Source organism: Homo sapiens, chromosome 16 (genome assembly GCF_000001405.40).
Source record: "Homo sapiens chromosome 16, GRCh38.p14 Primary Assembly".
NCBI lineage: Eukaryota > Metazoa > Chordata > Mammalia > Primates > Hominidae > Homo > Homo sapiens.
The window spans coordinates 68,092,758-68,120,377 of NC_000016.10; the positions used below are offsets into that span (position 1 = coordinate 68,092,758).

General features: G+C 41.3%; 1 protein-coding gene across 3 annotated transcripts in view, besides 2 other annotated features; it reads left to right on the forward strand.

The window, feature by feature from the left end:
- Window positions 1–27,620, forward strand: part of NFATC3 (nuclear factor of activated T cells 3) — a 143,890-nt gene that overhangs the window by 7,388 nt on the left and 108,882 nt on the right. The window lies entirely within an intron of this gene.
- Window positions 1,029–1,323: a silencer, noted in NCBI's record as "tiled region #7518; HepG2 Repressive non-DNase unmatched - State 25:Art, and K562 Repressive non-DNase unmatched - State 5:Enh". NCBI's record gives its function as "represses a minimal TATA promoter and a strong SV40 promoter by Sharpr-MPRA in HepG2 and K562 cells {active_cell/tissue: HepG2 | K562}" and the evidence as "EXISTENCE:reporter gene assay evidence [ECO:0000049][PMID:27701403]".
- Window positions 26,315–26,444: a silencer, noted in NCBI's record as "silent region_7640". NCBI's record gives its function as "represses an Ori minimal core promoter by ATAC-STARR-seq in GM12878 lymphoblastoid cells {active_cell/tissue: GM12878}" and the evidence as "EXISTENCE:reporter gene assay evidence [ECO:0000049][PMID:35858748]".

The window sequence follows — 27,620 nt, forward strand, 5'->3', positions numbered from 1 at the left end:
TTGTTCTTATTATTCAAACCATATTTCCCACGTCTGTAGTTCTTTAATATGTTAAACTTCAAAAATTGACTTAGCTTATTGCTATCCTTTTATTGGGTTAGTTGGCTGGTAAATTTTGCCACTTCCTGAAAATGACTTTTGTTTCCCCCCTTCTCTCTGCCCTGTGGCCAAAGTCTTGGTCTCCTTCCATTTGGATTTGTGTATTAATAGTTTTCTCTTCGTATTTTCTCCTAATTCAGTTCTGAAAGTCATAGTTGAGGTTATCTTCAATTCCCACTCCTTTTTGTCTGTAACCTGCCTTTCCTCACAGTTTTTCATTGTGCTCCACCATTTTATATCTGTTACTTCAGATATCAAGCTCATCACCTTTATTCATCTCTTTTCAGTCCCAGTGTGAAACCTTTCCTTCCATCCATTTTCCTGATCTGCTGTCAACGTGTTCACCAAAGACTTTTTCTTTTGTGAGACAACTTAACAGATAATTTTGATGTAGTACTGAGCTAGGAGGTCTGGATTCTAGATTCATTTCTGTTGCTAATTGTGTGATACTGCTAAAAAGCATAGAGTTTCAAGCTAATTCAGTCCTTCCATTTTACAGGAGAGGAAATTGAGACTCAAATTGACCTGCCCAAGGTCATTTAACTGGTTAATATCAAAACAGAGACCCAGGACTTCTGACTCCTAGTCCTTTGGTCTTCTCCAGTAAGTTGCTTAATTTTTGCTTGAAAATCCTACATTTCCTTCTTGTGGATTAAAAACAAGAACAACAACAACAAAAATCCTACAGTTCTTTTTGCGCAACCTATAATTTTGATCATTTTGTAACTTTTTGTTTGTGATACATTAGATAAATATTTAATCCAGTGTTATTGAGTACCTATTATGTGCAAGGTATTTTTATGTGCATTATCTCATGATAACCTAGAGAGAGGTATTATTTCTATTTAGCGCATAAGGAAACAGAAATGCAGATGGATTTGACCATCTAGAAAGTGGAATTAGCTGGTATTTGAACTTTGGTTTTCTGACCTCAAATTTTGGGCCCTTTCTGCTATGCCTGCCTCTTGCCTTGCTATTCTCAGAAAGAGTTTAAGTACAGAAAGACTCAGTTTTTCCTATGGTGAAAGCAAGGGTCATGTTGGGCATATGGAATCAAACATATATGAGTCATGTCTTACAAATTACATGTGTTCCTGTGACTAGATTTTCTGCTTTGGGCTCAAAATAGCTACTTGAGGGATGCTTCTTATTCCTGCCTGCTCTAGGAAATTTTAAAGGGTAGCAGTGATACAGTTAGACCAATAGAGGGTACTGTATCGCTATATCGCTAACTGTGCTAGACCCAAATTTAGCTCTTTTGGGCCTTTTCTCTTTGCTGCTTTGTGGATCTGGAGGTCAAGAGGTGATATCATTTTAGGTTTTAAGGCAGTTTACTCTAAGGAGAAATTGGCCTTTGTCTTTGGCAGCCCCCCTCTCCGCCCATGTTGTCTTGATTAGGGTCTGATTTGTCATCTTGCAGGCTGTTTTGCTTTTAAAGTTTAAAGCGTTTAGATCTGTCGTCAAAATTGCCCTAAACCTGAATGAGGAAAAATTCAGAATTTTAAAAATGCTCAATAGTCAGGGTAGTTTCATTTTTCAAGGTTAACATTTTGCTTTCACATGTTCAAAAAAAAAAAAATGAGTACTATTTATTTGATTGAATTTAGGATGCAAGGAGAACTACCTTCTATAGCCACTAGGACTGATACACATTTTTTTCCTTGATATTTTGACCAATTTGCCATCTGCCATTTATTCTTCTCTCTCAAGATCAGTACTCTTTTGGATTTTCTCTCTCTCTTGTACATACCCAGTTGTCTCTGAGTTTCACCAGAACTCTCCCTTTGAGAGCAAAGGCAAGAAAGCTCTTTTGTCATACATGTTACCTAGTAAATGTTGGCTGATCATGGTTTTAGCACTTCTGTTGACTTTTTAATCATCCGATTACTATTTGAAATAAATAGTAAAATACTCTTAATCTTCTAGTTTAAATATATGCAAAATAGTTACATTTGGATTGATATTTGCTGAGGGGAAGGAATGAGACACGGATGCTGGCTTCACACAGCTCTTTTCTTTTTAAGAGTGACGAAGGACTTTTCCAGAAGCCTTCAGCAAACTTAACCTTGCGTTTCATTGACCAAAACTGGGTTACATTCCCTTTCCTAAATTAGTTACTGGTAAAGATGAGTGGAATTATTCTTAGCCAACCAGACCTATGCCTTGGCCTGAGGATATGGTTGGCTTCCCCAAAACACAAGGCTGCATGGGAGAGGAGTGGATAGAAGGATAGAAAATCTGTTAGGGAGGAAGAAAGAGAAAATGGATGCTGGGAGGGGGTCAACCAAAAGAATTGTCTGTGCTTACTATCCACAGTATTCTAGCAACTGAGGGACTTAAAAAAAATTTTTTTTTTTTGAGAGAGAATCTCACTCTATTTCCCAGGCTGGAGTGCAACCTCTGCCTCCTGGGTTCAGGTGATTGTGATGCCTCAGCCTCTCAAGTAGCTGAAGTAGCTGGGATTACAGGTGTGCACCACATGCCCAGCTAATTTTTTTTTTTTTTTTTTTTTTTGAGACAGAGTCTCACTCTGTCACCTAGGCTGGAGCACAGTGGCACAATCTCTGCTCACTGCAACTTCCACCTCCCAGGTTCAAGTGATTTTCCTGCCTCATGCCTCCCAAGTAGCTGGGATTACAGATGTGTGTCACCGTGCCTGGCTAATTTTTGTATTCTTAGTAGAGACAGGGTTTCACCATGTTGGACACGCTGGTCTTGAACTCCCTACCTCAGGTGATCCGCCTGCCTCGGCCTCCCAAAGTGCTGGGATTATAGGCATGAGCCCCTGTGCCCAGCCAGTTGAGGGACTTTATAATGTAAACCTGACTTTTGTTATGCAGTTACTTTCTCTGGCACTTGCTTTTTCTTTTGCTTTGTCAGAGTCCTTGGGGATGGGCATGGGAGTTGATAGAGGTGCCAAGAAAGAGAAGTATGGCTATTGATCCTGGATTAATAACAGTGGGGTTGGTGTCTTGATGGGTGGGAGATCTGGGACACAAAATTCATTTTTGTTGTGTGGTTCAGGTGGAACCTGATGATTATGCAGACATACAGAAGCATAAAGACAGTGTCAAATCTGATTTGTCAAAATTGAGATAGTAAAGTGTTTTTTAAATGCTTATTTTATTTTATTTCTTAAAATTTATTTTGAGACAGGGTCTCACTTTGTTGCCCAGGCTGGAGTTCAGTGGCTCAATCATAGATCACTGCAGTCTTAACTCAGCCTCCCAAGTAGCTCAAACCACAGGTGCTTGCCACCATGCCCAGCTAATTTTTAAAAATTGTTTTTGATAGAGACGGAGTCTTTCTGTGTTGCCCAGGCCAGTCTCAAACTCCTGGGCCTGAGCAGTCCTCCCACCTTGGCCTCCCAATGTACTGGGATTACAGGTGTGAGCCACCATGCCCACGCTAAAAATTCTTTTTAAAGTGCTTTGTTTCATTCTTTCGAAGGCTCATCTGAAAGAAACTAGCTGTTGTTAAAGGATAAAATAGAAGAATATGTAGAAGAAGAGAAAGTAGTAACCAGAGGGGAACATTGTATGAGATCTTAGAGTAACTGAGCTGGAAGGGACCTCAAGAAAGTCCTCTTCCATTAAGTGGGTAAATATACTAAATCATTTAATCTTTTAATTAAGTTTTGTTAAGTGTCAGTATTATTATGTGCCAAATACTGGTAATACAAATTAAATATAATTCAGTCTATTGGAGTAGACATATAAATGACTACAACAATATTAATATAACAGAGGTACGGAGAAGGGCCTCTGAGCATATAATGACACAGATTAACTCTGAGTAGAGAGGTCAGAGAAGAGTACAGTTGAGCAGAATCCAGTGGGATGAGTTCACCAGGTGGCTAAGGGAGGACATAACATTTCAGGCCAGCCGATTATCACACCCAAAGACAGGTTAAAGAGCATGGTCCTTTAATTTGGAAAGTGGAAGATCAGGATTCTGTTGTGTCCAGATGTGGCTGGAGAGGGACAGACTATTATACTGTATTGAGGAGTTTGGATTTTAGTTTGAAGACAGCAGGGAGCCATTGAAGGATTTCAAATTGGGCAGAAATGTCAGATTTGTAGCTCCATCACTCTACTATACTGTGGGTAATAGATTGAAGAAGACAGGAATGGAGGTGGGGACACATGTATTTGAGAAATGATAAGGGTAGAGCAGTGAAGACGACAAAGTGGGAATAGTGCTCAGATAGATTTACAGGAAAGAAATCAATAGGACCTGGTATCCATTGAGTAAGGAAAGGGAAGGAGGCAGGATTATTTCTATTTTTCTAGTTTGGGTCAGTTGTGGTAGGAGAATTAGCTTTGGAGGTGGGGAGGGAGAAAGGTGATTCATTTTAATAAAATGTGCTATTACAAAATGTCTGTGGAAATAGTGGTGAACAAGACATGGCCCTTGCCTTCATGAAGTGCACAGTCTAGTAATTATTAATGTAACTAGTGTCATGAAAATACAAAGTGCAAAGTATAAAGTGCAATGAGAGTATATAGTAAAAAGGAGTTCAGTTTTGTGTATGTCTAGTTTGAAGCATCTGTAGATTTATTAGGCAATTGGAAATATAAGTGTAGAGCTCAAAAGAGAAACTTGCACAAAAGAGATTTGAAAGTTATTGGTCTATAGATATTGATGATAGTTGAAGTCATGGGCATGGATGAAGTCACTGCAACAGAGTGTGGATTATAATGTGAAAAGGAGGCTGAGAACAGGACTCTGGAAACAACAGTATTGCAAGGATGGCAAGGAGAGAAGTCTGAGAAGATACTGTCACAGAGTTAAATTAGACAATCAAGAGAATGGTGTAGGGAAAGCCAAGGCAGAAGAGGGTTTTATCTATTTCAACAGCTTTATTGAGGTAAAATTGACATTTAATAAACAACATATTTAAAGTGTACAGTTTAAGTTTTGACACATGTAGAGACCCATGAAACTTTTACCAGATATAGTGAACATATCCGCGACCCCCAAAAGAAGTTTGTTTGTGTGCCTCTGTAATCACTCCCTCCCATACACCTTTCTCCCTTTTCCAGACAACCGCTGAACTCACTAGAACATTTATATAAGTGGAATTGTAAAGCATGTACCCTTTTTTTGCGGGGGTTGGGTGCTGACTTCTTGTCATTGCTATTTTGAGATATGTCCATGTTATTGAGTGTATCAGTAGGTCATTAATTTTTATTGGGGAGTAGTTGCCATTATGTATGTATAGTACAATTTATTTTATCCATTCACCTGTTGATGGACTTTTGGATTGTTTCCAGGTTTTGGCTGTTACAAATAAAGCAGCGATGAATATTCATGTATTGTCTTTGTATGGACACATCTTTCCCTTTCTCTTGGGTAAATACCTAAGAATGTAATGGTTGGGTAATTTGGTAGATGTACATTTAACTTTTTGTCTATTATTATTATTATTATTATTATTATTATTTTTTTTTTTTTTTTTTTAGATGGAGTCTCACTCTGTCGCCAGGCTGGAGTGCTGTGATGCATATCTCGGCTCACTGCAACCTCCCAACTCCCTCGTTCAAGTTGTTCTCCTGCCTCAGCCTCCCGAGTAGCTGGGATTGCAGGCACACGCCACCATGCCCGGCTAATTTTTGTATTTTTAGTAGAGACAGAGTTTCACCATGTTGACCAGGATGGTCACAATCTCCTGAGCTCGTGATCCACCCGCCTCAGCGTCCCAAAGTGTTGGGATTACAGGTGTGAACCACTGTGCCCAGCACATTTAACTTTTTAAGAAACTGCCAAACTGTTTTCCAAAGTGGTTATATCATTTTAAATTCCCACTAGCAGTGGAATATTTTGACATCCTAACCAACATCAGGTTTAGATAGTCTTTTTAATTTTAGCCATTCTAACAGGTGTGTAGTGTTATCTTCTGTAGGTTTAGTTTATATTTTCCAAATAACTAATGCTCTTGAACATCTTTTTATGTGCTTATTTGCTATCTTTTTTGGTTAAGTGTCTTTTTAAGCTTTTTACCCATTTAAAAAAGCTTTTTATTTTGAAATAATTAATAGATCCACAGGAAGTTGTAAATAAAATGTAAAGAGGTTCTGGGTACCCTTTACTCAGTTTCTCCCAACGATAACATCTTGCATAACTATAGTACAATATTGAGACCAGGAAAATGACACTGGTAGAATCCACTGAACTAACTCAGATGTGAACAATTTTACATGCACTGATTTGTGTGTGTTTATGTGTGTAGTTCTCTGCAGTTTTATCATATGTAGATTAGTGTAACTACTACCATGATCAAGATACAGAACTGGGCCAGGCGTGGTGGCTCACGCCTGTAGTCCCAGCACTTTGGGAGGCTGAGGCCGGTGGATCACCTGAGGTCAGGAGTTTGAGACCAGCCTGGCCAACCTGGTGAAACCCTGTCTCTACTAAAAATACAAAAAATTAGCCGGCTGTGGTGATGGGCGCCTGTAGTCCCAGCTACTCGGGAGGCTGAGGCAGGAGAATGGCGTGAACCCAGGAGGCGGAGCTTGCATTGAGTGGAGATTGCGCCACTGCATTCCAGCCTGGGCGACAGAGCGAGACCCCACCTCAAAAAAAAAAAAATATATTAGCCGGGCATGGTGGTGGGTGCCTGTAATCTCAGCTACTGGGAAGGCTGAGACAGGCGAATCGCTTGAACCTGGGAGGCGAGGGTTGCAGTGAGCTGAGATTGGGCCATTTCACTCCAGCCCAGGTGACAGAGTGAGACTCTGTCTCAAAATAAAATAATAATAATAATAATAATAATAAAAAATATAGAACTGTTTCATCTCACTAACTTCTTTATAAGCACATCCTTTTCCCTCCCTCTTCCCCAACCCAGTCTCAAATTCCTGGCAACCACTAATCTATTCTACATCTCCAAAGTATTATTTCAAGAAAATGTTAGCTACATAAATTAAGTCATACACTATGGGACTTTTTTGGGGGAGGGCAGGGCAGGGGGACAGGGTCTCACTAGGTTGCCAAGGCTGGAGTACAGTGGCATGATTATGCCTCACTGCAGCCTTGAACTCTTGGGCTCAAGCTCTCCTCCCACCTCAGCCTCCCAAAGTGCTGGGATTACAGGTGTGAGCCACCGTGCCAGGCCCTATGTGACCATTTGAGGTTGACTTTTTCTTCACTCATTGCCTGGCGATCCTTCCAAGTTGTCGAGTATATTAATAGTTTGTTCTGTTTTATTGCTGAGTAGTGTTCCATCATATGGATGTACTACAGTTTAATTGTTTACCCATTGAAGGACATTCGGGTTATTTCCAGTTATTGGCTATTATGAAAATTGCTATGAACATTTGTGTACAGATTTGTATGTGGATATGTGTTGTTTCTTTTTTTTTCTGGTATAAATACCCAGAAGTACAAATGCCTCCTGACCTCCAATCTGTGAATTTAGTTTTATAAGAAACTGCCAGGGTGTGGTGGCTCACACCTGTAATCCCAGCACTTTGGGAGGCCGAGGTAGGCAGATCACTTGAGGCCAGGGGTTCAAGACCAGCCTGGGCAACATGGTGAAACCCCATCTCTACTAAAAATACAAAAATTAGTCAGGCATGATGATGCATGGCTGTAGTCCCAGCTATTTGGAAGGCTGAGGCATGAGAAATCGCTTGAACCCTGGAGGCGGAGGTTGCAGTGTGCCAAGATTGTGCCGCTGTACTCCAGCCTGAGCAACAGAGCAAGGCTCTGTTTCAAAAACAAAACAAAACAAACAAAAAAAAAAACCAAACCTGCCAAATGTTTTCATTCCCACCAGCAGGTGTATGAGTTACTCAGTTTCTCTGCATCTTGGGCAGCATTTGGTATTAACACCTTTTTTTTTTAATCATTCTGATGGGTGTGTAGTGATACCTCATTGTGGTTTTAATTATATTCTTCTCATGACTAATACTGTTGACCATTGTTTTATGTGATTTTTGCCATCCGTATATTATTTTTGGTCTAGTGTCTAAGTCTTTGCCCCTTTTTAGATTGGGTTGTTTTCTTATTGTTGAATTTTGAGAGTTCTGTGTGTGTGTGTGTGTGGGGTGTGTGTGTGTGTGTGTGTGTGTGAAACAAGTCTATCAAATATATGCTTTGCAGAGAGTTTCTCTCAATCTGTGATTTGTTTTTTAATTCTATTAATAGTATCTTTTGTAGAAGTTTTACATTTTGATGAAGTTTGCCTTACCAATTTTTTCTTTCATGGATTGCACTTTTGGTGTTACAGCTAAGAAATCTTTGCCTAACCCATGCTCACAAAGATTTTCTCCTCGGTTTTCTTTTCTTTTCTTTTTTTTGAGACACAGTCTTGCTCGTGTTGCCCAGGATGGAGTGCAGTGGCATGATTATGGCTCGCTGCAGCATCAACCTCCTGGGCTCAAGCTATTCCTCCTGCCTGAGCCTCTGTAATAGCTGGAACCACAGGTGTGCACCACCATGCCCCGCCAATTTTTAAATTTTTCGTAGAGATATGGTTTCACTGCATTGGCCAGGCTTGTCTCAAACTGTAGGGCTCAAGTGATCCTTCCTCCTTGGCCTCCCAAAGTGTTGGGATTACAGGAGTGAGCTACTGTGCCTGGCTGCTAGGTTTTCTTTTGGAAGTTTTATAGTTTTAGGTTTTTTTTTTTGTTTTTTTTTTTGAGACGGAGTCTCGCTCTGTTGCCCAGGCTGGAGTGCAGTGGCGCGATCTCGGCTCACTGCAAGCTCCGCCTCCCGGGTTCACGCCATTCTCTTGTCTCAGCCTCCCAAGTAGCTGGGACTACAGGCGCCTGCCACCACGCCTGGCTAATTTTTTGTATTTTTGATAGAGATGGGGTTTCACCATATTATCCAGGATGGTCTTGATCCCCTGACCTCATGATCCGCCCGCCTCTGCCTCCCAAAGTGCTGGGATTACAGGCATGACCCACCGCACCCGGTCCCAAAGTATCTTTTAGGTGCCTGAGTCTCAGCATTTTTGACACATCAATTCGTCTGTCAATTTTATTTTCTTGGAGACTTTCCTTTCTCTCAGAGCCTTCTAAACTAATCTGGATTAGTGGATACCTAGCATGTTGTACATCTGTCATTGTGAGACCTCACTTCTCTGTCATCTTGAGTTCTTTGCATTTCTGTTATTGTGTTGTCATTTGTTTCTTTGCAACTCATTTTGGTGGAGTACTTCCTTCAGTAGCTTACTGATGGTAATAGGAGGTAAATTTTTGTGACCTTATATATTTAAAGGTCTTCACCAGGCGCAGTGGCTCACGCCTGTAATCCCAGCACTTTGGGAGGCTGAGGCAGGTGAATCACAAGCTTAGGAGTTAGAGACTAGCCTGGCCAACATGGTGAAACCCCGTCTCTACTAAAAATACAAAAAAATTAGCTGGGTGTGGTGGTGCGTGGCTGTAATCCCAGCTACTTGGGAGACTGTGGCAGGAGAATCGCTTGAACCCAGGAGGCAGAGGTTGCAGTGAGCCGAGATTGCACTACTGCACTCCAGCCCTGGTGACAGTGTGAGACTCCATCTCAGGAAAAAAAAAAAAAAAAAAAAAAAAAAAGTCTTCATTCTCCCCTCACACTTAATTTTGGCTGGTTGTAGAATTCTAAGTTAGATATCATTTTCTCTCATAAATTTGAAGGCATTGCTCTCCATTTTCTCCATTTTATTCCATTGTTGTTGAAAAGTCTGATGCCATTCTGATTCTTGATTCTTCATGTGTAACCTGTTACCCTCCTCTGAGTCTTTTAGGTTCTTCTCTTTGTCCTTTGTGTTCTGATTTTTTCAGTTCCATTGTAATCTCAGGAGACCATTTTCACATACGTGGTCTGTCATTGACCAAAACATCATCAAGCAGTACCTGACTACCTACAAATGTAATTGCTTGTCATATGGTAATTCTCTATGTAAATTTTTGAGGCACCATCAAACTCTTTTCTACAGCAACTCAGCTGTATCACTTTACATTGCCACTAGTAATATATGAGGGTTCTTATTTATCTGTATCCACACTAACACTTGTTTTCTCTTTTTGTTTATTTTTTCAAATTAAAGCCATCCTGGGAGTGTGAAATGGTATCTCTCTGTGGTTTTTATTTGCATTACCTAATGACCAGTGATGTTGAACATCTTTTCATGTGCATGTTGGTCATTTGTATATCTTCTTTGGAGAAATGCCTATTCATGTGCTTTGTCCATTTTTTAATTCAGCTGTTTGACTTTTTGCTGTTCAGTTATAAAAACTCTATATATTCTGGATACTAAAGCCTTATCAGATCTAAGATTTACAGATATTTTTTCCCATTCTGTAGGTTGTCTTTTCACTTTTCTTTTTTCTTCTTTTTTTTTTATTTTATTATTATTATTATTATTTTCTTCTGAGACAAGGTCTCACTCTGTTGCCCAGGCTGGAATGCCATGGTGTGTGATGTTGGCTCATGGCAGGCAGCCTTGACCTCCTTGGCTCAAGTTAGCTTCCCACCTCAGCCTTCCAAGTAGCTGGGACTACAGGTGCATGCCACCATGCCCAGCTAAGTTTTGTATTATTTTGTGGAGATGAGATTTCACCACGTTGCCCAGGTTGGTCTCAAATTCCTGGGCTCAAGTCATCTGCCTGCCTCAGCCTCCCAAAGGGTTGGGATTACAGGCATGAGCCACTGGGCTTGGCCTCACTTTCTTGATGGTGCCCTTTGGTGCACAAAAGTTTTTAATTTTACCAAGTTGTATTAATTGAGTTCTTTTGTTGCTTGTGCTTTTACTATTAAGAATCCATCGCCAAATCTGAAGTCTTGACAGTGTACTCCTATTTTTGCTTCTAAGAGTTTTATGCTTTTAGCTCTTATATTTAGGTTGTTGATCCTTTTTGAGTTAATTTTTGTATATGGTATGAGGAAGGGGTTCAACTTCATTCTTTTGCATGTGATAATCCAGTTTTCCCAGTACCATTTGTTGAAGGAACTATTCTTTTTCCATTTAAAGTCTTAGCACCCTTGTAAAAAATCAATTGGCCATAGATATTCGGGTTTATTTCTGAACTCTCATTTCCATTCCATTGATTAATACATCTCTTCTTATGCTAGCACCACACTGTTTTGATTGCTGTGCCTTTGTAGTAAGTTTTGGAGTGTTAATCCTACTTTGTTTTCTTTTTCAGTGTTATTTTGGCTGTTCAGAGAATATTCTGGGCCCCTTGCATTTCCGTATAAATTTGAGGATTGGCTTTTCCATTTCTCTAGAAAAGCCCGTGAAATTTTGGTAGGGATTGCATTGTACATCACTTTGGAGAGTATTGCATGTTAACATTGTTTTTCAATCCATGTACACAAGAAGTCTTACCACTTATTTAGGTCTTCTTTAATTTATTTCAGCAATGTTTTGTAATTTTTAGTGTGTAAGTTTTTCATGTCCTTGGTTAAATTTATTCCTGAGTATTATTTCTTTTGGAGGTTACTGTAAATAGAATTTTCTTAATTTCCTTTTCAGATTGTTTATTGCTTGTATATAGAAACAACAGAATTTTATGTGTTGATGTTTTACCCTGCACCTTTAATGAATTCATTTATTAGCTGTAGTTTTTTGTAGAACTTATGGGTTTTACTTTATATAGAATCATGTCTTCTGCAAGTAGAAATAGTTTTACTTCTTCCTTTCCAATTTGGATGTCTTTTAATTCCTTGATTGCCCTGGGTAGGACTCCCAGTACAATGTTGAATAGTAGTGGTGAAAGCATGCATCCTTATCTTGCTTCTTATCTTGGGGGAAGGCTTTTGTTTTACACCACTATGATGTTAGCTGTGGGCTTTTCACAAATGGTTTTTTTTTTTTTTTTGAAATGGAGTCTGGCTCTGTCGCCCAGGCTGGAGTGCAGTGGCGCGATCTCTGCTCACTGCAAGCTCCGCCTCCTGGGTTCATCACGCCATTCTCCTGCCTCAGCCTCCCAAGTAGCTGGGATTACAGGTGCCCACCACCACGCTCAGCTAATTTTTTGTATTTTTAGTAGAGACAGGGCTTCACCATGTTAGCCAGGATGGTCTTGATCTCCTGACCTCATGATCCGCCCCTCTTGGCCTCCCAAAATGCTGGGATTACAGGCGTGAGCCACCGCACCTGGCCTCACAAATGCTCTTGATCATGTTAAGGAAGTTTACTTCTATTCCTAGTTTGCTGAGGTTTTTGTTTGTTTGTTTCAGTCTTAAAAAGATGTTGAATTCTGTCAAATGCTTTTTCTGTCAGTTGAGGTGACTGTGTGGGTTTTTTTTTTTTTTTTTGAGATGGAGTCTCACTTTGTCACCCAGGCTGGAGTACACTGGTATGATCTTGGCTTACTGCAGTCTTCACCTCCCAGGGTCAAATGATTCTCCTGCCTCAGCCTCCCAAGTAGGTGGGATTACAGGCGCCTGCCACCATGCCTGGCTAAGTTTTGTATTTTTAGTAGAGACAGGGTTTCACAATGTTTGCCAGGCTGGTCTCGAACTCCTGACCTCAAGTGATCCACGTGCCTCAGCCTCCCAAAGTACAGGCATGAACCAGTACACCCGGCCCCTGATTGTGTGGATTTTTTTTCTTCACTCTATTAATATGGTATATTATATCAGTTGATTTTCACATGTTGAACCACCCTTGCATTCCTGGGATAAATCACATTTGGTCTTTTTTAATGTGCTCTTGGATTCAGTTTGCTAGTGTATATTTTGTTGAGGATTTTTGTGTTTATATTCATACGGGATATTGGTCTGTAGTGTCTTGCTTTGGTATCAGGAAAATACTGGCCTCATAGAATGTGTTAGGAAGCATTCCCTCTATTTTTTGGAAGAATGTGAGAAGTAGTGCTGTTAATTCTTGTCTAAGTGTTCATTAGAACTGACCAGTGAAGCCATCTGTTCCTGGGAGAATTTTGACTATGATTCAATCTCTTTACTTGTTAGAGGTCTGAGATTTTCTTTTTCTTCTGAGTCAGTTTTGGTAATCTCTGTATATCTAGGAGTTTGCTCATTCCTTCTAGATTGTCTAATTTGTTGGTGTACGATTGTTCATAGTATTCTTCTTCTTTTTTTTTGAGACAGAGTCTCACTCTGTTGCTCAGACTAGAGTGCAGTGGAGCAATCTTGGCTCACTGCAGCCTCCGCTTCCTGGGTTCAGGCGATTCTCCTGCCTCAGCCTCCCTAGTAGCTGGGATTACCACCACGCCAGGCTAACTTTTGTATATTTTAGTATAAATGGGGTTTCACCATGTTGGCCAGGCTGGTCTTGAACTCTTGACCTCAAGTGATCCACCTGCTTCGGCCTCCCAGAGTGCTGGGATTATAGGTGTGAGCCGCCGCACCCGATCCTGTTCATAGTATTCTTATTATCATAGTATTCTTACATATATTTTTGCAAACACCAGTTGTAATACATTCTAACAAAATCCACTTACGTTGTGCTAAAGTAGTGTTTTCTTTTTTCTTTTCTTTTTCTTTTTTTTTTTTCGAGATGGAGTTTCACTCTAGTTGCCCAGGTTAGAGTGCAATGGTGTGATCTTGGCTCACTGCACCTCCACCTCCTGGGCTCAAGTGATTCACCTGCCTCAGCCTCCCGACTAGCTGAGAATACAGGTGTGCACCATCACGCCTGGCTAATTTTTGTATGTTTAGTAGAGACGGGGTTTCTCCCTGTTGTCCAGGCTGGTCTCAAACTCCTGACCTTGTGATCTGCCCGCCTCGGCCTCCCAAAGTGCAGGGATTACAGGCATGAGCCACCACACCCAGCCTCTTTTTTGTATTTTTAGTAGAGATGGGGTTTCACCATGTTGGCTGGGCTGGTCTTGAACTTCTGACCTCAGGTGATCTGTCCACCTCAGCCTCCCAAAGAGCTGGGATTACAGACGTGAGCCACCGTACCCGGACGCCTTTTTTTTTTGTTGTTTTTTTTTTAATTTAATTTAATTTTAAGTTCTTGGATACATGTGCAGGATATGGAAGTTTGTTACATAGCAAAATGTGTGCCATGGTAGTTTGCCACACCTGTCAAGCCATTACCTAAGTGTTAAGCCCAGCATGCATTAGGTATTTTTCCTGATGCTCTCCCTCTCTCGTGACCCCCACCCCCAGACAGGCCCCAGTGTGTGTTGTTCCCCTCCCTGTGTCCATGTGTTCTCATTGTTCACCTACTGTTTATAAGTGAGAACATGTGGTGTTTGGTTTTCTGTTCCTGCATTAGTTTGCTGAGGATAATGGCTTCCAGCTCCATCCATGATCTCATTCTTTTTATGGCTGCACAGTATTCCATGGTGTATGTGTACTACATTTTCTTTATCTTGTCTGTCATTGGTGGGCATTTGGGTTGATTCTATGTCTTTGCTATTGTGAATAGTGCTGCAGTAAACATACACATGCATGTATCTTTATAATAGAATGATTTATATTCCTTTGGGTATATACCCAGTAATGGGATTGCTAGGTAAAATGATATTTTTGGTTCTAGGTCTTTGGGAGAATAATTGCTACACTGTCTTCCACAATGTTTGAACTAATTTACATCCCTACCAAGAGTATAAAAGCCTTTCTATCTCAGCCTCGCCAACATCTGTTGTTTCTTGACTTTTTAATGACTGCCATTCTGGGCCGGGTGTGGTGGCTTACGCCTGTAATCCCAGCACTTTGAGGGGCCGGGGCGGGCGGATCAGTTGAGGTCAGGAGTTCAAGACCAGCCTGGCCAACATGATGAAACGTCATCTCTACTAAAAATAATAAAATTAGCTGGGCATTGTGGTGCATGCCTGTAGTCCCAGCTACTTGGGAGGCTGAGACAGGAGAATCACTTGAACCCAGGAAACAGAGGTTGCAGTGAGCCGAGATCATGCCACTGCACTCCAGCCTAGGCGACAGAGTGAGACACTGTATCAAAAAAATATAATAATAATAATAATAATAATTTCCTTTCTGACTGGTTTGAGATGGTATCTCATTGTGGTTTTGATTTGCATTTCTCTGATCATCAGTGATGTTGAGCTTTTTTTATGTTTGTTGGGCTGCATAAATGTCTTCTTTTGAGAAATGTCTGTTCATGTCCTTTGCCTACTTTTTAATGGGGTGGTTTATTTTTTTTTTTTTTGTAAATTTATTTAAGTTTCTTGTAGACTCTGGATATTAGACCTTAGTCAGATGGATAAATTGCAAAAGTTTTCTCCCATTCTGTAGGCTGCCTGTTCACTGTGATGATAGTTTCTTTTGCTGTGCAGAAGCTCTTTAGTTTAATTAGATCCCATTTGTCAGTTTTTGCTTTTGTTGGCAATTGCTTTTGCCATTTTCATCAAGAAATCTTTGCCCATGCCTATGTCCTGAATGGTATTTATTGCCTAGGTTTTCTTCTAGGGTTTTTATAGTTTGGGGTTTTACATTGAAGTCTTTAATCCATCTCGAGTTAATTTTTGTATAAGGTGTAAGGAAGGGATCCAGTTTCAGTTTTCTGCATATGGCTAGCCAGTTCTCCCAATACTACTTATTAAATAGAGAATCCTTTCCCCATTGCTTGTTTTTGTCAGGTTTGTCAAAGATCAGATGGTTGTACATGTGTGGTCTTATTTCTGAGTTCTCTGTTCTGTTTCATTGGTCTTTGTGTCTGTTTTTGTACCAGTACCATGCTGTTTTGGTTACTGTAGCCTTGTAGTATAGTTTGAAGTCGGGTAACGTGATGCCTCTAGCTGTGTTCTTTTTGCTTAAGATTGTTTTAGCTATACGGGCTCTCTTTTGGTTCCATATGAATTTTAAAATAGTTTTTTCTAATTCTGTGAAGAATGTCAATAGTATTTTAATGGGAGTAGCATTGAATCTATAATTTGCTTTGGGCAGTGTGGCTGTTTTCACAATATTGATTCTTCCTATCCATGAGCATGGAATGTTTTTCCATGTTTGTGTCCTCTCCGATTTCCTTGAGCAGTGGTTTGTAGTTCTCCTTGAAGAGGTCCTTCACTTCCCTTGTTAGCTGTGTTCCTAGGTATTTTATTCTCTTTGTAGCAATTGTGAATGGGAGTTCATTCTTGATTTGGCTCTTTGCTTGTCTCTTGTTGGCGTAAAGGAATGCTTGTGACTTTTGCACATTGATTTTGTATCCTGAGACTTTGCTGAAGTTGCTTATCAGCTTAAGCTTTTGGGCTGAGACTAGGGGGTTTTCTAGATAGAGGATCATGCCATCTGCAAACAAAGACAATTTGACTCCCTCTCTTCCTATGCGAATACCCTGTATTTCTTTCTCTTGCCTCATTGCCCTGGCCAGAATTTCCATTACTATGTTGAATAGGAGTGGTGAGATAGGGGCATCCTTGTCTTGTGTCAATATTCAAGGGGAACACTGTCAGCTTTTGCGTATCCAGTATGACATTGGATGTGGGTTTGTCTTAAATGGCTCTTATTATTTTGAGGTTTGTTCCTCCGATACCTAGTTTATTGAGAGTTTTTAACATGAAGTGATGTTGAATTTTATCGAAGGCCTTTTCTGCATCTATTGAGATAATCATGTGATTTTTGTCTTTAGTTCTGTTTATGTGATGGATTACATCTATTGATTTGAATATGTTGAACCAGCCTTGCATTCTGGGAATGAAGCTGACTTGATCCTGGTCGATAAGCTTTTTGATGTGCTGCTGGATTCGGTTTACCAGTATTTATTTGAGGATTTTGGGATCAATGTTCATCAGTGATATTGGCCTGTAGTTTTCTTTTTTTGTTATATCTCTTTCAGGTTTTGGTATCAGGATAATGCTGGCCTCATAAAATGAGTTAGGGAGTAGTCCTTCCTTTTCGGTTGTTTGGAATAGTTTCGGAAGAAATGGTACCAGCTTCTCTTTGTACCTCTGGTAGAATTCAGCTGTAAATCTTTCTGGTCCTGGGCTTATTTTGGTTGGTAGGCTATGTATTACTGCCTCAATTTCATAACTCATTATTGGTCTGTTCAGGTATTCAGCTTCTTTCTGGTTCAGTCTTAGGAGGGTGTATGTGTCCAGGAATTTATCAGTGTCTTCTAAGTTTTCTAGTTTATTTGCATAAAGGTGTTTATAGTATTCTCTGTGGTGGTTTGTATTTCTGTGGGGTCAGTGGTGATATCTGCTTTATCATTTTTTATTGTGTTGATTTGATTCTTGTCTCTTTTCTTCATTAGCCTAGCCAAGCTCCTGGATGAGTTGTTTTTGTTTGTTTGTTTGTTTTGAGATGGAGTCTCACTCTGTTGCTCAGGCTGGAGTGCAGTGATACGATCTTGGCTCACTGCAACCTCCACCTCCTGGGTTCAAGCAATTCTCCTGCTTCAGCCTCTTGAGTAGGTGGGATTATAGGCACCCACCACCACACTGGGCTAATTTTTGTATTTTTAGTAGAGACAGGGTTTTACCATGTTAGCCAGGCTGGTCTTGAGCTCCTGACCTCAAGTGATCTGCCTGCCTTGGCCTCCCAAAGTGCTAGGATTACAGGTGTGAGCCACCGTGCCTGGCCTGAATTTTTTTTTTTTTTTTTCGAGACGAAGTCTCGCTCTGTTGCCCAGGCTGGAGTACAGTGGCCCAATCTCGGCTCACTGTAAGCTCCGCCTCCCGGGTTCATGCCATTCTCCTGCCTCAGCCTCCTGAGTAGCTGGGACTACAGGTGCCCACCACCACACCCGGCTAATTTTTTTTGTATTTTTTTTTAGTAGAGACGGGGTTTCATCGTGTTAGCCAGGATGGTCTCGATCTCCTGACCTTGTGATCTGCCCGCCTCAGCCTCCCAAAGTGCTGGGATTATAGGCGTGAGCCACCGCGCCCAGCCTGATTTTTTTTTTTAAGGGTTTTTTTGTGTCTCTGTCTCCTTCAGTTCTGCTCTGATCTTGGTTATGTCTTGTCTTCTGCTAGATTTGGGGTTTGTTTACTCTTGGTTCTCTAGTCTTTTAGTTGTGATATTAGGATGTCGATTTGAGTTTTTTCTGGCTTTTTGATGTGGGCATTTAGTGCTATAAATTTCCCTCTTAACACTGCTTTAGCTATATCCCAGAGATTCTGGTACATTGTCTCTTTGTTCTCATTGGTTTCAAATAACTTCTTGATTTCTGCCTTAATTTCATTTTTTACCCAGAAGTCATTCAGGGGCAGGTTGTTCAATTTCCATGTAGTTGTGTGGGTTTGAGTGAGTTTCTTAATGTTGAGTTCTAATTTGATTGCGCTGTGGTCTGAGAGACAGTTATGATTTCATTTCTTTTGCATTTGCTGAGGAGTGTTTTACTTCCAAGTATGTGATCGAATCTAGAGTAAGTGCCATGTGGCACTGAGAAGAATGTATATTCTGTTTTTGGGTAAGTCTACTTGATCACAGCTGAACTCAAGTCCTGAATATCTTTGTTAATTTTTTGTCTCGATGATCTGTCTGATATTGACAGTGGGGTGTTAAGTCTCCCACTATTGTTGTGTGGGAGTCTAAGTCTCTTTGTAGGTTTCTAAAAACTTGTTTTATGAAACTGAGTGTGCCTGTATTGGGTGCATATATATTTAGGATAGTTAGCTCTTCTTGTTGAATTGAACCCTTTACCATGCTGTATGCCCTTCTTTGTCTTTTTTTGATCTTGTTGGTTTAAAATCTGTTTTGTCAGAAACTAGGATTGCAACCCCTGCTTTTTTCCTGCCTTCCATTTGCTTTGTAAATTTTCCTCCATCTCTTTATTTTGAGCCTGTGCATGTCTTTGCATGTTAGATGGGTCTCTTGAATACAGCACACCAATGGTTCTTGTCTTTTTAGCCAGCTAACCATTTTGTGTATTTTAATTGGGGTATTTAGTCCATTTACTTTTAAGGTTAATATTGTTATGTGTGAATTTGGTCCTGTCATCATAATGCTGGCTGGTTATTTTGCAGACGTGTTAATGTAGTTGCTTCATAGTGTCATTCGTCTGTGTACTTGAGTGTGTTTTTGTAGTGGCTGATAATGGTTTTTGCTTTCCATATTTAGTGCTTCCTTCAGGAATTCTTGTAAAGCAGACCTGGTGGTGCTGAATTCCCTCATTATTTGCTTGTCTGAAAAGGACTTTATTTCTCTTTCACTTACGAAGCTTAATTTGTCCGGATATGACATTTGGGTTGGAAATTCTTTTCTAAGAATGTTGAATATTGGCATCCAATCTCTTCTGGCTTGTAGGGTTTCTGCTGAGAGGTCCACTGTTAGTTTGATGGGCTTACCTTTGTGGTGATCTGTCCTCTCTCCCTGCGCTTAACATTTTTTCCTTCATTTCAACCTTGGAGAATCTGATGATAATGTGTTTTGGGATTGATCTTCTCATGGAGTATCTTACTGGGTTTCTCTGAATTTCCTGAATTTGAATGGTGGCCTATCTTGCTAGGTTGGGGAAGTTCTCATGGATGATACCGTGAAGTATGTTTTCCGACTTGGATGCGATCTCCCCGTCTCTTTCAGGTACCCCAGTTGTAGGTTCAGTCTTTTTTTTTTTTTTTTTTTTTTTTTTTGAGATGGAGTCTTGCTGTGTTGCCCAGGCTGGAGTGCAGTGGCGTGATCTTGGCTTACTGCAACCTCCACCTCCTGGGTTCAAGCGATCCTTCTGCCTCAGCCGCCCGAGTAGCTGGGACTACAGGCACACACCACCACGCCTGGCTGATTTTTGTATTTTTAGTAGAGATGGGGTTTCACCATCTTGACCAGGCTGGTCTTGAACTCCTGGTCTCGTGATCCACCCGCCTCGGCCTCCCAAAGTGCTGGGATTATAGGCGTGAGCCACTGTGCCCAGCCAGGTTCATTCTTTTAAATAATCCCATAGTTCTTGGAGGTTTTGTTCATTTCTTTTCATTTTTTCTTTTTCGTTTTTTTTTTTTTTTTTTTTTTTGAGACGGAGTCTCGCTCTGTCGCCCAGGCCGGACTGCGGACTGCAGTGGCGCAATCTCGGCTCACTGCAAGCTCCGCTTCCTGGGTTCACGCCATTCTCCTGCCTCAGCCTCCCGACATTTTTTTTTTTTCTCTAACCTTGTTTGCCCGTCTTATTTTAGCAAGATAGTCTTCAAGCTCTGATATCCTTTCCTCTGCCTGGTCTGTTCAGCTGTTGATACTTGTGGTTGTATTGTGAAGCTCTCCTGTTGTGTTTTTCAGCTCAATCAGGTCATTTATGTTCCTCTGTATACTAGCCATTCTGGTTAACAGCTCCTGTAATGTTTTATCATGGTTTTTCGCTTCTTTGCCTTGGGTTAAAACATACTCCTTTAGCTCAGCGAAGTTTGTTATTACCTACCTTTTGAAGCCTACTTCTGTCAATTCATTCTTCTCTGCCTCAGCCCAGTTCTCTGCCCTTGATGGAGAAGTGTTGCAATCATTTAGAGAAGAGACACTCTGGCTCTTTGAGATTTCAGCGTTCTTGCATTGATTCTTTCTCATCTTTGTGGATTTATCTGCCTTTGATCTTTGAGGCTGCTGACCTTTGGATAGGGTTTTTGTGGGATCTTTTGTGTTGATGTTGTTGTTGTTGCTTTCTGTTTGTTTTTCTTTTAATAGTAAGGCCCCTCTTCCATAGGGTAGGGCTGCTGCAGTTTACTAGGGGACCACTCCTGACCTAATTCATCTACCCCCTCCTGCACCTGGAGGTATAAGCAGTGGAGGCTGCAGAACAGCAAAGATGGCTGCCTCCTCCTCTGGGAGCTTCATCCCAGAAGGCACGGAGCTGATGCTGGCTGGAACGCTCCTGTATCAGGTGCCTGGTGACCCCAGTTGGGAGGTCTCACCCAGTCAGGAGGGATGGGATCAGGAACCTGCTTAAAGAAGCAGTCTGACTGCCCCTTGGCTGAGCAGGTTCGGCTGTGCTGGGGAGAATTCCCCTCATCTGGACTGCCAACAGGCAGGAAAGACTAGGTCAGCTGAACCATGAGACCATGACCACCCCTACCCGTAGAGGCTCCTTCCCAGGGATATCAGAGTTCTGTCCATAAACTCCTGGCTAGAGTTACTGCAGTTCCTGCAAGGAGGTTCTGCCTGGTGAAGAGAGAAGGATCTGGGTCCCACCTAAGGAAACAATCTGGCCACGATCTGCCACCGCCACTGTGTTGTGCTGTGGGGAATTCCTCTTCGTCCAAACCGCCAAGTTTCCCCAACACCAGCAAAGGAAAATGGCAGACTGGAGCCGCAGTGATGGCGACTGCCCCTTTCCGTGGGAACTTGGTAGTCTTAGGCAGTGTCCAGCCTGCTGCTGCTAGCCACAACCTGAGCAGGTTGCACAGCTCTGTGCTTGGGTCCCAAGGCCTTGGTGGCGTGGGCTCATGAGGGGATTTCCTGATCCATGGGATGTACAGATCTGTGGAAAAAGTCTGGTTTCCCGCGCAGGGTAGCACAGTTACTCACCACCTCCCTTGGCTGGGTGTGGGAGTTCGCCTTTGTGGCTACCAGGTCAGGTTGTCGCTCTACCCTGCTTTTCCTAGCTCTGTGTGGATCACACCAACCACCTAGTCAGTCCCAGTGAGAGAACCTGGATACCTCAGTTGACGGAGCAGGATTCACTGGCCGTTTTTGCTCCTCTTAGTGGGAGCCGCAGACTGGAGTGGCTTCTAATCAGCCATCTTGGCTCCTCCTGCCTAAACTAGTGTTTTCTTAACTTCTTTGCAAATGTTTTTTCTTGAAGTTGTTTCTTTCACACTATTCATGGAGGCTAATTGTTTAGTCACTTTAAACTCTGCATTGACTCTTCAATAAATAACAACTGAGCAGATGTTGGTAACATCTGGCAGCACATCAAGGGCCAAGGAAAAGCACTTTTTTTTTTTTTTTTTGAGACGGAGTCTTGCTTTGTTGCCAGGCTGGAGTGCTGTGGTGCAATCTTGGCTCACTGCAACCTCCGACTCCCTGGTTCAAATGATTCTCCTACCTCAGCCTCCCAAGTAGCTGGGATTACAGGCAAGTGCCACCACGCCCAGATAATTTTTGTATGTTTAGTAGAGACGGGGTTTCACCATGTTGGCCAGGATAGTCTCGAACTCCTGATCTCGTGATCCGCCTGCCTCTGCCTCCCAAAGTGCTGAGATTACAGGCGTCAGCCACCGCACCTGGCCGGAAAACCACTTTTTAAGGAAATCGTTTGTTTTATTTTGTAATTAACCTATTAATGTTGCTACCAATGTCCTCAGTTTTTCTACCAGTTGTTCTTGCTGAAAGGCTAATAGTCTTGTAAGTTTTTCTCTGAACATATTTCCGTGGTTTCTCCGGTGAAACACAATTTAAATAACTCACCATCAGTAAATGACTTTCTTTTTTTTTTTTTGAGACCAAGTCTCACTCTGTCACCGAGGCTGGAATGCAGTGGTGCAATCTCAGCTCACTGCAACCTCCGCCTCCCGGCTTCAAGTGATTCGCCTTGCCTCAGCCTCCCAAGTAGCTGGGATTACAAGCGCCTGCCACTATGCCTGGCTAAATTTTGTATTTTAGTAGAGATGAGGTTTTGCCATGTTGTCCAGGCTGGTCTCGAACTCCTGACCTTGTGATCCACCTGCCTCAGCTTCCCAAATTGCTGGGATTATAGGCATGAGCCGCTGCACCCGGCCCCAGTAAATGACTTTCTTTACTTTGCTAGCAAATGAGCCATTTTATTTTCTTTGTTTTTTGTTTTTGTTTTTTTTGAGAGACGGAGTCTTGCTCTTGTCACACAGGCTAGAGTGCAGTAGTAGCGCAATCTCGGCTTACTGCGACCTCCGCCTCCCGGGTTCAACTGATTCCCCTGCCCCAGCCTCCCAAGTAGCTGGGATTACAGGCACGCGGCACCATGCCCAGCTAATTTTTGTATTTTTAGTAGAGACAGGGTTTCACCATGTTGGCCAGGCTGGTCTTGGACTCCTGATCTCAAGTGATCTGCCCCCTTTGGCCTCCCAAAGTGCTGGAATTACAGGCGTGAGCCACCATACCTGGCCGATTGTTTTTTTTTGTTGTTGTTGTTTGTTTTAAATTTTTTTTCTTTTCCTGTGAGTTGGGAGTATTATGATGAATGCATTACTGTGGTAATGCATATATATGGCCATAATGTTATTGCACATCTAATTTGATAACAGTATAACCACACTCCACTGTGCTTTAAAAGGGCAACATTCAAAGTCTACTTTTCTTTTTGTGTTATGCACTAGTAAAAATTTTTTTAAAGTCACAGTATATACGTATGCATTGCACTCATTAGAACTTTGTCACTGCAATTTGTGTCCATCAAGCAGCAATGTGAAGGAATAGGGGTAGTACATGTGGTCCCTTTGACAGTTACTCAGTTCTACCCTTGTGTGAAAATAACCATAGATAGTATATAAATGAATGAGCATGGTTGTGTTTCAGTAAAACGTTATTTATGGATACCAGAATTTGAATCATAACTTTTTTTTGTCATGACACAGTTAAAAACAATTTTTTGAAACCATTTAAAACCATTAGTTTGTAGGCTATAGAAAGACAAACTATTATCTGTAGGCTTTCTATAGCCTACAAACTAATGATTTTAAATGTGGCCTACCACTTGTTGGTGGGCCAGACTTGGCACATGGACTGTATTTTGCCAACCTCTGCTTCATACTATACATAAAAACATTCATAAGACAACTTGGGTTGTCCAGATTACTGTATGCTTGCATGAGTCCCTCTGGTGGTTGAAGGAACATGGAACAAGTAATTCTTGAGATGGTGAAATTTCTGAAGCACCTTGAATTTGAGAATTCTAGACTTGGAAATCTGGACTTAGGACTGTTCGTCATAGTTAGATTGTAGTAGCTGCTTATATCATTTCCAGAGGTTGGACACTTGGGAAAAAGATAAAGCAGCATTCCCACAAATTTTGTGTGCAGGTCTCTGCAGCACTTTAAGACATCATTCTGACGTAGAAGATGTTTGCTTCATCTACAGTTTATTTGGGAGAAGGGTGTGGTTTTCAGCATTAGTCAACAACTGAAATGGGCTGGTACAATAATTTCATTTGAATAAACTGTAAAATCTTCTATGGGTGACTTTCTGTCCTTTTTTTTTTTTCTCAAAGGGTTGGGATTTAATTAATTTTTCCTATTTAATCAAGTACATTCTTAAGTAAAGGAAAAAGGCAGTTTGAAAATAAGCAGTACGATTAGATGAAATTAGTAAAGAACAAGTTGTTCTGGATGACTTCAAGGTGCTATATATACCCTTTGAACTGTTTGCTTGTTTTTCCTGTCTCTCCTTTTCTTTGCAGCCATCTTCTCTCATTTTAGATTTCCTGCTTCTAATCTGTGGACTAGATAAGCATATAATATTATGGGATCTAAAATTGAGTAGAGAGGATCTGAACAAGGGGCCAAGGAAAATTTCTGTGAGTTAAACACATGAGCTTTTATGCTGTATATTTTGAGTGTTCAGAGGCTTGTTTTACTTCTGTCCACTTGAGTACCATTTAGATAGGTGACATTGTGAGCTAAGTTTTAGAAAGTTTTAGCTACCATCATAATTCAACAGGCTGATAGCATTGCCAAGAAACATGGTTCAAAAATTCCTAATTGAGGATTTTGCTCCTAAATTTATATCAGATCATATATATCAAATGGTGATACTTTTCTGTTTAGAATGCTCCATTGGTTTCCCATCTCGCAAGGCCTTACTTGACTAGCCTCTCCCTGAGCACCCCTAGCTCTCATTATTCTGCCTCCTTACTCAGGAGTAACATAGATTCTCTAAGGGAAGCAATTCCAACAACCTTATTTATTTATTTAGACAGGGTCTTGCTCTGTCACCGAGGATGGAGTGCAATGGCGCTATCTTGGCTTACAGCAACCTCCGAATCTCAGGCTCAAACGACCCTCCTGCCTCAGCCTCTCAGGTAGCTGGGACTACAGTACAGGCATGTGCCACCATGCCTGGCTACTTTTTGTATTTTTATTTTTGTAGAAATGGGTTTTTGCCACATCGTCCAGGCTGGTCTCGAACTCCTGAACTCAAGCCATTTGCCTGCCTCGGCCTCCCAAAGTTCTGGGATTACAGGTGTGAGCCACCATGTCCGGCCCCAACAACTTGAACAAATGATTTATTATAGACCTAATAAATGTCAGGGACTTACTTGGTAGGTACTGGAGATACAGCAGTTGAAGTTGTTCTCATATATAATAGAAATCATGTCATTCCCCTTTTTAAAACTCTTACATGGTTTCCATTATTCTTTGAATAAAATCCAAAGCCCTTACTACAGTTCTTCTATGTCTTGGCTTCTTCTAGCTCTACCCTTTCAGTTGTTAACTCTAGCCATCTTGGGCGTTTCTTAAAGAAACCAAGGCGTTATTTGACTCAGACTGTTTATGCCTATTCTCCTGTGTTGCAACTATCACCTTCTCTCCCCAGCCCCGCTGACTCTCTTTCTTTGCTTGCTGGTTCCTATTTATCTTTCAGGTTTTAGCTTACATGCTACCCTCTCAAAAAGGCCATCTCTGTAATCTCTGTAAAACAAGTTCCTTGTCTGATTCTCTCTTCTACCACTTAGTAGCACTTACCATTTTTAATTTGTGTTTTTGTCAGTCTCTCCTGAGACTGACTGCTTAATGAGGGCGGGGGACCATATGTGTGTTATTTACTTTTTATGTACCTACCATCTATAACAGTTTCTATAAAATATTAATCACATCATTAATAGTTGGTGAATGAATGAGCACCTTCTTCACTTGGCTTCTGGGATGCTGCATTCTTTTGGTTATTGTTCCATTTCACTGATGTCTCTTCTAACCTCTTAACTCATTCTTCTTTTTCTCCCTAATCCTAAACTTTGGAGTTCCTTGTGCCTCAGTTGCCTACTTTCTTCTCTATTTGTACTAATTTCTTAGTGATCTTTTGGTCTTATGGCTTTAAATTTCATATATACGTTAATGATTCCCACATTTACATAGCTAGCTTGTGTTCTTATGCACAAATATCTATTTGACATTTCCACTTGGAAAGCTTACTGGACTCTCATATTTAATATGTACAAAGTAGAAGTTTTGGTTTCTTATCTCAAGTCTGTCTCACTTTCTTTATTTCAGTAATTGCTGTTCTTTCAGAAATTCAGAAAATTTCAGAAATACTGTATTGTTGTTGTTGTTTTTTGAGACAGCCTCGCTCTGTTGCCCAGGCTGGAGTGCAATGGCGCGATCTTGGCTCACTGCAAGCTCTGCCTCCTGGGTTCACGCCATTCTCCCACCTCAGCCTCCCGAGCAGCTGGGACCACAGGCGCCTGCCACCACGCCCGGCTAATTTTTTGTATTTTCAGTAGAGATGGGGTTTCACCGTGTTAGCCAGCATGGTCGTGATCTCCTGATCTCGTGATCCACCCGCCTCGGCCTCTCAAAGTGCTGGGATTAAAGGTGTGAGCCACTGCGCCCGACCAATACTGTGTTTTTAATAATAGTTCAAGGCTTTAAACCTTGGTGTCACCCTTGACTGTTCTTTCACATCCAGTCAACAAGTTCCGTCAGCACTACTTTAATCCAAAATCTGACTTCTTAATGCTGCTTCTGCTTTTACAGCTCACTACCACTTAGGTCCTGTATTCCATCTTTTCTCACCTGGATGATTACAGTAGCCTCCTAAATTTATATCAGTTCATATATATCAAATGATGATACTTTTCTGTTTAGAATGCTCCAGTGGTTTCCCATCTCGTAAGGCCTTACTTGACTAGCCTCTCCCTGACCACCCGTAGCTCTCATTATTCTGCCTCCTTACTCAGTTCAAGTCCCACTGGCCTTGTTTTTTCTCATACAGTACACTTCAACAATGCTGTACCTCAGGTCTTTGCACTTACTATTATCCTCTGCCTGCATTATGCCCCTAAATTTCTGTATAGCTCAGTTACATTAATATTCTTCTGCTATTTCCTCAAGTATTAGAGAAGGCTTTCCAGACTTTCCTATTAAATTAACATCTTTGCCTCCTCTATATTTTTTCCCGTTTTATTTTCTCTTACAGCAAATATCACTACCTGACATATTTTACTAGAATGTAAGCTCCATGAGGAGGGGATTTTGTTTTGTTTACCATGGTGTTTTTAGTATTCAGAACATGCCTGCTTACATAGTAGTTGCTAAAAAATTTTTTTGTTAAATGAATAAGTTGAATCATGTTGTTTCCAGTGTAGACAGAATAGGTATATGTGGTTGAAAAATGAACAGCACAAAGTTAGCTCCCCAAAAATGGCAAAGTGAAATAAAGAAACATTTCTGAAGAACATTGTTGAACTGTAATCCCAGCACTTTGGGAGGCTGGGGCAGTTGGATTGCCTGAGCCCAGGAGTTCAAGATTAGGCTGGGCAACAAAACGAGACCCTGTCTCTACAAAAAAAAAAAAAAAAAATTGCTGGGAGTGGTGGCATGCACCTGTGGTCTCGGCTACTTGAAAGGTTGAGGTGGGAGGATCACTTGACCCAGAAGTTTGAGGCAGCAGTGAGCTATGAGTGCACCACTGCACTCCAGCCTGGGTGACAGAGCGAGACCTAGTCTCAAAAAAAAAAAAAAAAGTCCGGGTGTGGTGGCTCATGCTTGTAATCCTGGCACTTTGGGAGGCCAAGGAGGGTAGATTGCTTGGGGTCAGGAGTTTGA